The sequence below is a fragment of the Homo sapiens genome, chromosome 4, assembly GCF_000001405.40.
Source record: "Homo sapiens chromosome 4, GRCh38.p14 Primary Assembly".
Classification (NCBI taxonomy): domain Eukaryota; kingdom Metazoa; phylum Chordata; class Mammalia; order Primates; family Hominidae; genus Homo; species Homo sapiens.
The window spans coordinates 145,842,524-145,854,675 of record NC_000004.12 but is presented as its reverse complement, the minus strand read 5'-3'; the positions used below and the strand labels follow the sequence as shown (position 1 = coordinate 145,854,675).

Below are 12,152 nucleotides of genomic sequence, written 5' to 3'. Positions count from 1 at the left end.
GAAGCAACTGGAATATTTCAGTATTGCAGGAGCACAAAGTCACATGGAGGAGTGCTCAGAGATGAAGTAGGGAGGGTGGGGCTGAGGCTTTCTGTGGGACAGAGAAGGAATCGTTGTGCAGGTGGAAGAACCCAAGGGCAAGAAGGCAGAGCGCAGGAAGCTCACGTGGCACCTGCAGAGCCTCCTGCTTCTCTCCTGGCTTCCATGCCACCACACCAGGTGGGACTATTCCCTCTCTATCTCTTTTCCTTGCTCTTTTCTTCCTCCTCCTCTTAAGGGTAGGTAACAACAGTTCCACCCCATCCACTGCCCTCTGCTTGCTCTCTTTTGCAGACCTCACTCTGTCCCATGAATTCAGATGACTTCCCATCTCCATGTCACAAATGTCCTTCCCTTCCCACCTGTAAGCCATCACAACCTCCACTTCCTGTGGGAAACTTGAATACTTAGGCAACACAGAACTTCTTCTCCTGAATTTCTCCTCAGCCCAACTTTGGTAGTTTCCTTACTCCTAGTGAGGAAGACTTCCAAACTCCTAGTGAGGAAGACTTCCAAACTCCTAGTTTGGAAGATAAAAAATATTATCTTCCAAACCTTAGAGACTTACAGTTCATAGGATTTTCATCTCACCTGCCTCTCATCCAGTTCCTGTATAAATTTCATCCATAATTTCTCTCACATTTGTTTCTTCATTTTTTTTTAATTGAGACTTTTTTTTTTAATTGCTCTGTTGCCCATGCCGGAGTGTAATGGTGCAATCAGGGCTTACTGCAGCCTCGACCTCCCAGGCTCAGATGATCCTCCCACCTCATCTTCCCAAATAGCTGGGACTACAAGCATGTGCCACCACACTCAGCTAATTTTGTACTTTTTTATGATATAGGGTTTTGCCATGTTGGCCAGGCTGGTCTCCAAACTGCTGGGTTCATGCAATCCATACACCTCAGCCTCCTGAAGTACTGGGATTACAGACCCAGCCTCTTTTCATTCTTAATTCAGACTACAGTCAGCCACCAAGTCCTTCCCATTCAACCTCTGAAATATCTTGTAGTTTTTTTTTGTTTTTTTGTGGGTTGTTTGTTTGTTTGTTTGTTTTGAGACAGAGTCTCCTTCTATTGCCCAGGCTGGAGTGAAGTAGCACAATGATAGCTCCTTGCAGCCTTGAACTCCCTGGCTCAATAGATCCTCCCACCTCAGCCTCCTGAGTGGCTGAGACTATAGGCACACCACCACACCAACAGCAACGATATATAGACCACCTGGGATAAAATGACTATTTGTCCTATTATTTTGGGAAGAGATTCTAAAAGGATTCACGTTGTGTGTGTACAGGAAAGAGTAAAATCCTGTGTGTGTAGACATGTCCCTGGGTATGGGAGACAAAGCTAAGAGATAGTAGAAATGATTAATTCAACCGTTGTTATGTTAGAACACCCCAGGCAAAAAGAAGAGAGCTGGCCTGGGGACCAAATGAGGTATGTAACAGAAACCAGTGTTGCCAGGTCAGCCTGTCCAGGAACCTGGCTGAGGTGGCGATTGATACCAGGCCTAGGCTAGAAATGAAAGGAGCTTTTTCTTTCTTCTTTGTCTTGTGTGGTGATTGAACTTTCTTTGGAGCAAAAACTAGAATGCGGCAAAAACTTTAGAGCCGTGGTTTTCAACCAGGATGGTTTTGCCCTTCCCTCCCCTGAGAAAATTTGGCAACATCTGCAGTCATGTTTGGTTGTTAAAACTAGAGGATGGAGCCCAGGATGGTGGCTTGTGCAGGTAGCCCCAGCTTCTCAGGAGGCTGAGGCAGGAGGGTTGCTTGAGGCCAGGAATTTGAGACTGCAGTGTGCTATATGACCACACCTGTGAATAGCCACTGCACTCCAGCCTGGGCAACGTAGTGAGACCTACGTTTCTTAAAAAATAAATAAATAAAAGTTAGAGGATAATGCTACTGGTATCTAGTGGGTAGAGAGACCAAGGATGTTGCTAAACATCCTGCAATGTGCAATATAGTCCCCCACAACAAAGATTATCCAGCCCCAAATGTCAGTAGTACCGAGGTTGAGAAATCCTGCTTGAAAAGAAAAGCCAAAAAAAACACTTGGCAATAATGCTATTGCATGGAAGAGAAGGGACTGTGATATTTACTGTATTATTTGTCCAGTGTTTCACTTGTCCATTGAGATGTTAGTTTGAAAACTCCTCTCCCTGAGTCTGGAATCTGTCAAGTAAATTAAGAAGGTCAAAGGCTTTTTATCAGTGATCAGTGTTTTGTGCATTCTTGAAAGGGCAAGGGTTGTCATAAGAAAGAGCAGAAAGCACTTCATGTAAATCATACTTGATGTGATCCCAGGAAGCTTTTAAAAACTAATTTCATTAAATTTAGTGGTGCAAATAGCCAGGTGATTTTTTATTCCATGGTCAAAGCTAGGGAAATGAGGCAGGGTGGTATGAGGTGTGAGGAGAAGATAAATAACAGAGCTTCTTTCTGGCTTTGCTTTTTATAGTGTCAAGTTTTTTTAAATGAAGTGAATCCCTTTGTATTTGTCCTAGTATTCTTTTGTGTTTGTCCCCAGGCCTTACAATGACTTCCCAGTGCAAGATTCAGACGCATCATTATGTACCTATGACACTGACCCCACTGTTTATTTTCCAAATATTAGGTACTTTGGGGAAGCATGATGAGGGAAGCTGTGTTGTGACTGCCCATGAGGGTGGCTGATCTGGCTGGAGGTCAGGATGGCTGTGAGGTCACCAGATCCCTAAGGGGCTTGAGGGAGGAAGATCAGTTCTCCAGGAAGAATCAGATGAACTGGAAGTAAAGGCAGAGAAGCTAAGCGTGTATCTTGGACAGCTTTCTTCTTCTTCTCTTTTTTTATTTAAAAAAATTTTTTTATCATGACTGACTGATTCAGTGAACTTGATTTTTATGAGCTGCTTTGCAGACATGAAGAGAAAAAACAGCTTGGCAGGAGTAGGGAAAGGGGGGAGGGATCTAAAGTAAATACCACACTTGCCTGCAGTTTAGTTGTTGACAAAAAACAGTTTTCCCTGAGAAGCATGTGTAATATGTCAGGAAGAAAAAAGAGCAATTAACACTCTTCTTACATAAGATCTTATTGATAGCACTGTATTAATTTTAATCATTTAGGTTAAAATGCTCTTCTTTTTTTTAACTACCGGTCAATAAACTATATACGTGTATTTGACGTTCACCCATGTCATGCTTTCCAGGGAAAGCATAGCTTTTTGGCCCTCCCAGCTTCTAACAATGAGGTTTCCCTGATGACATCTCCTGACTGTCCCACAGATCAGCACTTCCTTTACACTGCTTCTTGCTGTTTGTTTTATCTGTGTACCTGTGTGTCTGTCTGCCTGTCTGTCTGTCTATCTATCTATCTATCTATCTATCTGAAGTTTCCTAGGTCTGCTGTAGCAAGTTACCACAAAGTTGGAAGCTTGAAACAACAGATATTTATTCTCTCATGGTTCTGGAGGCTAGAAGTCTGAAATCAAAATGTTGGTCTGGCTGCACTCCTTCCAGAGGCTCTAGGGGAAAATCCTGGCTTGCCTCTTGCAGCTTCCAGTGGCTGCAGGGACTCCTTGGTTTGTGGCTGCATCACTCCAGTCTCTGTCTGTTTTCACATGGCCTTTTCCACTGTTTCTATGTCTTGTCCTCTTCTGTGTCTTATTAGGACACTTGTCATTGGATTTGGGACCCACCTAGATAATCCAGGATGATTTCTTCTTGAGATTCTTGACTTAATCACATCTGCAAGGACCTTTTTTTCCCAAATAAAGTCACATTCGCATTCACAAGTTCCCATGATTAGGATGTAGATGTTTCTTTTGGGGGACCACAATTCAACCCACTACTCTATCTGTCTGTCTATCATCTATCTGTTCAACTATCAAAATCCTCTTTGTTTTTTGTTTCCCAGTGTGCTGAGTACACAGTAGTTCCTAATTATTATTATTAATTTGAAAGTGTGGCCTTATTTTATAGCGACCCAAGTTATTTTCTGGGCTAATTGTCCCACCTTGTTTCAAAGATGTTTTATCATTAACTCTAAGCAATAGATGGACATAGACACTCCACCCTTACAAAACAAATATGTGTTTCAGACTAAAGACCCAGCATCTAATAGCCACACCTAAATGACACACAGTAAATTGTACCATTATTATAACTTGTAAGATTGCTGTTTTTCTGGGTGTTGCTCCTTGGGCTGCAGTTAACTTCCTGCGTGGTCTTCCATACACCTCCAGCAAGGTGCAAATGTCTCCGTTGAATTGACCCTATTTATCCTTGATTAATGTATGTGCCCTAGAAGAGAGAAAAGCAATTGGTCAGAGCTTTAAAAATAGAGGGAGAGGCCGGGCGCAGTGGCTCATGCCTGTAATCCCAGCACTTTTGGAGGCCGAAGTGGGCACATCACCTGAGGTCAGGAGTTGAAGACCAGCCTGGTCAACATGGGGAAACCCTGTCTCTACTAAAAATACAAAAATTAGCCGAATATTGTGGCAGGTGCCTGTAGTCCCAGCTACTCGGGAGGCTGAGGCAGGAGAATCTCTTAAACCTGGGAGGTGGAGATTGCAGTGAGCCCACATCGCACCATTGCACTCCAGCCTGGGCAACAAGAGTGAAACTACTTCTCAGGAAAAAAAAAAAAATAGAGGGAGAAAACCATAATATTAAGATGCTTGCTCTTATTTGATTCACTGAATTGAATAAGTTCTAAAGCAAGAACAAACACTTACCGTGTCCTCTCTCAGTTCTGGAAACAGTGTGGTAGAGAGGAAGGGGCACATGTGGTTGGTGAGAGACCTTGGTCAAGAAACATAGGCTCCAGCTTGCAGGCCAAGGCCTGGCCCTGCTACCATCTGTGATCTCGAACAAGCCTCTGAGTCTCTCTGGGCTAAAAAAAACTGAAGTCTCCTACCTTTTCTGGTATTAGATGATTGAGCCAATGGTTTTCAAACTATGGTCCAGTGTGCCGTGCACGCTCATTTTTCTCTTCCCTGCCACAATCTTTATGGTTTTCTCTGTGATTAGAAACTGGGTCTAGCTTGGAATTAAGAAATGGTGGTGTTTTTGTTTCTCTTCATTCACCTACTTGCAGCGGAAAGCTACAAGGAAACACAGATGGTGAAGATTAAAGAGGAACCCATGGAGGTTGACATCCAGGACTCCCATGTCTCGATATCACCCAGCCGGAATGTTGGCTACAGCACTTTAATCGGGCGAGAGAAAACCGAACCCTTACAGAAGATGCCAGAGGGCAGAGTACCCCCAGAGAGAAACCTCTTCAGTCAGGATATCTCTGTGAAAATGGCTTCCGAGCTCCTCTTTCAACTGTCAGGTATGTTTATGCACAGGAAAATGTCAATTATTGGAAATCATTGAAGGAAAACCCTTCTAACACAGTTTTTTTTAAAAAAAAAAACCTGAATTATAGGATTTTTTAGACAGAAATCAATTTTGTTGCTTTAACATGCATACTGCCACCCAAACTAACAGTTAATAAAGTGTTGCCAAGTAGAATTCCTGCCAAACTTTCCTTAATAAATAGTTAAGAATCACTTGAAATTAAAACTCTATTCAATTCTGCGCAAATGATTCCTGTTGACTGGGCTAAACACCTCACCTCTAATTTTGCTTAGGCAGTTGATCTGATTAACAGGCTTTTTTTTAATGTGCAAAAGATAAATTTCAATTTATTCCAACAGTGACTGAATTACTATGACTTCCAAATTAGTGTGGTCTGAATTAATGAGGTTTTATTGTATCTTGCCAAAACAAAAACAAAACAAAGAAGGGAAAAGCAAAAGATGAAGGTATGAGGACTATTTCCAGCTATAGCCTTAGCAGAACAGTTTCGGTAAACCAACTTTTTGTACTGCACATACTTACAATTGAAAAGTGCAGTAATTACCAGCTCAGTGAGGTGTCTGGATGAAATAGTTAAGGATCCCAGTACCTAAGTTGTTCCTTCTGTCATCTCTTTCAAGCCGCATAGCATTTGTCCCTAGCAAATTTAATATGCTTCTATTTTTTTGCACATGATTGAGGTTGATGGTATATACATATATAAGATTCGGATAGAAATACATACAAATACCTTGTCCAAAGTCAAGCACTGGCCTACAATATTAAAGTTTATCCATCAATAAAGCCTGTTACTAATGTTCAACAAACTCTGTTTTGTTATGGATAACACATTTAGAGCATCCATTTAATTCTCTCTTAAGGAAGATACCAGGAAAGAGAAAAAAAGCTAAAATCTGTCTGTCGCCATAATAGTTCACCTTCTCATTGACCTGGCAACACAGCCCATAGCTGTGTAATTATCAGATGGTGCTGAAAATGGTGGCCTCCAGGTCCTCAAACAGGGATGGTATTTGTGCAGATCTCTGCAGTAGCCGAAATCACTAATTCTGTAAACTTAATAGGACACACAGATCTTTGCAAGCTCCAAAACAGGCTACTTTTATTTATGTATTTTTTGAAGGATGAAGCTTATCTAAAAACAATATAACTTTAATAATGATTGAGGAGTTAAAATTTGCAAAAGTGTGACCTGCGTGGTTCTTTTCAGAAAGTCTCTCTAAACCGTATGCTGTCGCAGTCTCCTATCAGCTAAAAAGTTTGGGTCTGAGAGTTCTCACCCTGGCGCTGTCACTGCCTGGGTGACCTCAGACAAGTCATTTAGCCCCGATTTCCTGCTCTCTGAAAGAGTACTGGCTGTGAATCCAAATTCACGCTCATTGTCATTGTTGAGTGGACAGAAAGGAATTGTCCATGCACACATGCATGCAGTGGCTTCAGACTAGCAGTACAAAGTGTGAGACGGGTGTTGCAAATCTTTGTTTAAATTTTTCCAAAAATCCACAAGATTAAGAGATTTTTATTTGCCCTGCTGTTTAAATCTGAAACTCTTATACAGTTGGCCAGGTTTTTTCTAGATATTAAAAGAAGCCATTGACAGCTGTGACCGTCAGTGTAGGGTCCTCACATTTGAACTGCATTGGGAAGGCCAGAGTTCAACTTTTGTGTTCTTGAAAGCTCATTAAATAATTTCTGACAGCTGATAGATGTAGACCTCAAGCCACAGTAAGGGAGGGTCTACCTCTTCTTGTCTAAATGATATTTTTTTGTCCCTTATGACATTTATCAGAATAAGCACTGAATGACTGCAGCACGAAGAGGTCTTAGGCTGTTTTTATATCCCCTCTCACAAAGGGGCCTCACAATACAGAATGCTTAAAGGTTGTCATCAAAGTCAGAGGCGGAACAGTTGCAACAACTGCAGTTTTCATGCTGAATCAGAGGAAAGCAGAAATTTTCAGCTGGGGAAAGATACAGTGGAAATAACTGTCTCTGCCCATAACTCTATGTGTGTGTGCATGTGTATGTGTACGTATATATTTACCAAGGCCTCGTTCAAATCAGACCACATACTTGATATTTGATATTTGTTACTGTTTCCCTTTGATTGGTTTTACTTTTCTTTTTTTTTTTTATTTTTTTGAGACAGAGTTACACTCTGTCGCCCAGGCTGGAGTGCAGTGGCACAGTCTTGGCTCACTACACCCTCCACCTCCTAGGTTCAAGCAATTCTCCTGCCTCAGCCTCCCAAGTAGCTGGGACTACAGGCACGCGCCATCACGCCCTGCTAATTTTTGTATTTTTAGTAGAGACGGGTTTTCACCATGTTGGCCAGGCTGGTCTTGAACTCCTGACCTCAGGTGATCCACCTGCCTCGGCCTCCCAAAGTGCTGGGATTACAGGCATGAGCCACAGCACCTGGCCTGAGTGATGGTTGTTTTTTGTTGTTGTTGTTGTGTTTTTGTTTGTTTGTTTGTTTGAGACAGAGTCTTGCTCTGTTGCTCAGGCTGGAGTGTAGTGGCGCGATCTCGGCTCGCTGCAAGCTCCGCCTCCCGGGTTCACGCCATTCTCCTGCCTCAGCCTCCCAAGTAGCTGGGACTACAGGCACGCGCCATCATGCCCTGCTAATTTTTGTATTTTTAGTAGAGACGGGTTTTCACCATGTTGGCCAGGCTGGTCTTGAACTCCTGACCTCAGGTGATCCACCTGCCTCGGCCTCCCAAAGTGCTGGGATTACAGGCATGAGCCACAGCACCTGGCCTGAGTGATGGTTGTTTTTTGTTGTTGTTGTTGTGTTTTTTTGTTTGTTTGTTTGTTTGAGACAGAGTCTTGCTCTGTTGCTCAGGCTGGAGTGTAGTGGCGCGATCTCGGCTCGCTGCAAGCTCCGCCTCCCGGGTTCACGCCATTCTCCTGCCTCAGCCTCCCTAGTAGCTGGGACCATAGATGCCCACCACCATCCCTGGCTAATTTTTTGTATTTTTAGTAGAGACGGTGTTTCACTGTGTTAGCCAGGATAGTGTCGATCTCCTGACCTCCTAATCTGCCCGCCTCAGCCTCCCAAAGTGCTGGGATTACAGGCGTGAGCCACTGGATACTATCAACATGCTTTGGATGATTGTCTTTTCCAGTAAGATGGGGAGGATCTGGATGTTTAAAAAAGAAATCAAAAGAAAACCACAAAGGAAAAAGAGAGATGTTGAGGGTTTTTCTGCTTAAGGCTAAAAGATGCAAGTTGAGTGAGAACAACCTAAGAGGTGTATGTTTCATTCTTTCTCCTTACAGAAAAAGTGAGCAAAGAGCACAATCATACAAAAGAAAACACCATCCGGACCACGACCAGGTAGGCGACTTTGTGTGGGTTCCTCCAGAACACCCCGTGTGGGCCACCAGCCCGTACTACATGTTGAACGTTGCTCCCCAAACCTCTTTCTCCCACTGGGTTCAAAGGAGTCACACCCTTTACCACCATGTTCTACCAGAATTTCTTGGTTGGTAGAAACAATACAGACGTAAAGGAGGAAGACCACTAATATGTACTAAACATCTAATAGGTGTCACTTTGCTGGGAAATTTTCCATATGTTATTGTTTTGTATTCCTGACAATAATTTTGTGAAGTAGATGTTATTATCATCCTCTCTGCAGAAGTCTCCTGGCCTGAGAGTTGAGCCGGGTGGCTCAGCTGGGACTGGGGGCTGGGTCTGTATCTCACGAAGGCCTCTTTCTGTCTTATTGCAACCCTGCTCCTGACTGCCTCCATGACTATAGGCTGATAATTTGTCACCAAGGATATCCCAAATTTTTTTTAACCTCCCAGCGTTATTTGGAAGGCAAAGATTTTAAAGGCAGAAAAAAGATAATGCTTTTTAAAAATTGCAAGGAAATTTATATCATTCACCACTGTGGACAAGGAAGTTTTTTCACTTGCCAAAGGCAGTCTGAGGAGGTTAGCCAGTGTGGGCTGCCCACCGTCCATCTGCCGTTGTGAGAAGAGGAGGATCAGCCAGTGCTGCTGCTCCCATGGAGCTGCTTCCCATGAAGTCCACCCAAACCTGAAACGTTGTAGGTGAGAGCCAGCAGATGAAAACCCCACCACTGCAGAAAAGGAGCTCAGGGGAAATGCATTCTCCACCTTTGAAGGACCATTCTCCACTTTCAAACCTCCCTCCAATTTCTGAGTTAGCCCAAGATATGAGCTTTACAGGATGATCAAGAGCAATACACATTTTTAGGATGAACAACTAGGAACAGTAGAAACTAGCTGGGAGCTACCAAGCAGTCTTTAAATCAAGGAACTTTGCTTTCCTGAGCAAACAGAGAAAGATTCTTCCTGATGGGAACAGTTGCTGGGTTTTGTGTTTCTAATTCTTGCAACAAAAGGTACAAGATATTTTTCTTTTTGATGTCTTATTAATCGACCTCAGAGCATCATCAGGCCTGTGGACAGTACTCATTTAAACTTCAACCTGAGGTTTTAAAAAAATATTCCATTAATTGGAGTTTAGGAATGTCAAATTTCAAAGAGCAATTAAAACAGAGCCAGCTTGCCTCACACTGGGTTTATTTTATTTATTTATTTATTTATTTATTTATTTATTTATTTATTTATTTATTTATTTGAGACAGTCTCACTCTGTTTCCCAGGCTGGAGTGCAGTGGCCCAGTTTTGGCTCACTGCAGCCTCCACTTTGCAGGCTCAAGCCATCCTCCCACCTCAGCCTCCCGAGTAGCTGGAACTACAGGTATATGCCACCATCCTCTGCTAATTTTTGTATTTTTTGTAAAGACAGGGTTTCGCCATGTTGCCCAGGCTGGTCTCAAACTCCTGAGCTCAAGCGATCTGCCTGCCTCGGCCTTCCAAAGTGCTGGGATTACAGGGGTGAGCCACCGTGATTCGCTCACACTGGGTTTATATAGTTTTAGGGAGAGGAACCTCGTTCTAATAGAACAGAAGAGTGGTATGTATTAGTCTTGTGTCTGTATATAAGTATACAGAGAGAAAATGAGAGTAGGAAGATGGACTGCAGATTGTATTGGGAAATGGCTTTCGGGGGATGGAAAGGCTATTTTGTATATTAAGTTTGATGCCCAAATAGAAGATGTGAACTCCCATGGAATCCATCCTGCCCCCTCCTACATCTAACCTTTAAGCTATTTAGTGTATGTGCTTGTGTCTGTGGGTCTAAACACTGATGAAATTGGACAGATTAGTAGACCTTGAAAGACAGCAGACTAAACATAAAAAAATATTCATTTTAATTTGCTGCCATAGGATTCTTGAAGTGTTATAGGTTAAGTCCCCTAGAGATGGAGATTCTCGTGGAAGTGCTTTATTGAGGGAATGCTCTCAGAGGAACCTGCAAGGAGGTGATGGGGGCAGAAGACGGAGGAAAGAGAAGGAGAAGGAGCTGAGAGGAAGGATGTGGTTTTAGCTGGTTTCTAACTAACTTCAGCTGCATCCCCCAGGAAGGTTCACTAGCTTCAAGTAATCCCCTGCAGGGGATGTATAACCTCCCATGTTAGGGGGTTCCAATGGGGACAGCGGTTCTCACTTATAGTTATCAGGCAACACTTACGCAAACTCCGGGGTAGGTGCATTCGTGCCAGAGGGAGGATCTGGGCAGGACCCCACTAGCATGATCTATGGAGGTTTCTGAGGGCTCTTTAAGATTACATAATATTTATACAACAAAAAGATGTGCTGCAAGACCATATTATTTTATGCTCTTTAGGTGTTCTCTAGGAAGAGGTAAGAGGAGGCCCCAAGTTGGCCCCATACAAAGATTTTAATGTGCCTCAAGCCTAAACTGCCTTGGCTGGAGCTGAAGCATGATTATAGGATAGAAGAGAAAAAAAATTTTTTTAACCATTTGGCAAAAATGATGCAATCCTTAAATTCTCCTCTTTCTGGGAGATTATGAGTAAGAGGAAATCCGAATTAGATCTTTTGCCCAAAGCAAAGGAAGAGGTTCTTCCTGTGAGCTCCCGGCATGATATGGTGTTTAGAAATCAGTGTTAAAGAATTCTTGGCTTATAGTTCTACAAAGTCCTCGGTGTGGTTTTTTTTTTTTTCCTTTGAGTAGAGGCAGCTTACTTGATTAGCCTATCCATAAATAGATCTCTTTTTTACCTCTCGCCTTATTACTTCAGGTGGAATAGAATAAAATTTTTATGCCAAGAAATCCTCTTTAACCTGAGTTAACTGATATCAGGAACAGAAAAAAAAATGCCAATTTTCTTTCTTCTTTCCTGACTCCTGTTTTAGAAGGAACTCTTACTCTGCAGGTACAAGATCAGTGTGTGGATTATGCTTTAAGGTGTGATTTGTAATACATTTCAAAAAGATTTACATCAAACCTCTGAATTTCTGTATCTTCAGATTTTTAAGTACTAATGGAGTGTTTATTTAGTAATCATATCTTCTGTGTTTGATTTCCTAGAAGAAACTGATCATTCAGAAGGACGGTTCATGATTGGAATCAAGTTCAGAATTTTTCGCACTTTGAGAATAGCTAGGTATATTTAAGGTAGTTTCGTTTGTAAAGGGCAGGCCTGAGCACAGCACTGAGATCAAACCTTCCCTTGCCTTTCTCATGCTGATGAATGCCTACGCTCCTCCACTCCTTGCCATCTCCTGATCCTAGGATCTGGATATCCAAGGACATGAGGTAGGGAGAAGAGACACAAAACTGAAGAAAGGAGCTGACTCTATCCCTGCCTCTTATAAACCCACAGCTTCCCTCACAATTGTTTATCGTTATTTATCTCGATGC

The 12,152-nt window shown here is 42.6% G+C and overlaps 1 protein-coding gene across 18 annotated transcripts in view; it reads left to right on the top strand.

The window, feature by feature from the left end:
• ZNF827 (zinc finger protein 827) overlaps nt 1-12,152 on the top strand; it is a 181,197-nt gene that overhangs the window by 84,148 nt on the left and 84,897 nt on the right. For all 18 annotated transcript variants that reach the window (XM_047449635.1, XM_017007768.3, XM_017007770.3 and 15 more), the window contains 2 exons: nt 5,115-5,354; nt 8,663-8,720. In XM_047449635.1, the coding sequence (XP_047305591.1) occupies nt 5,115-5,354; nt 8,663-8,720 (298 nt within the window). The remainder of the gene's footprint in view (nt 1-5,114; nt 5,355-8,662; nt 8,721-12,152) is intronic.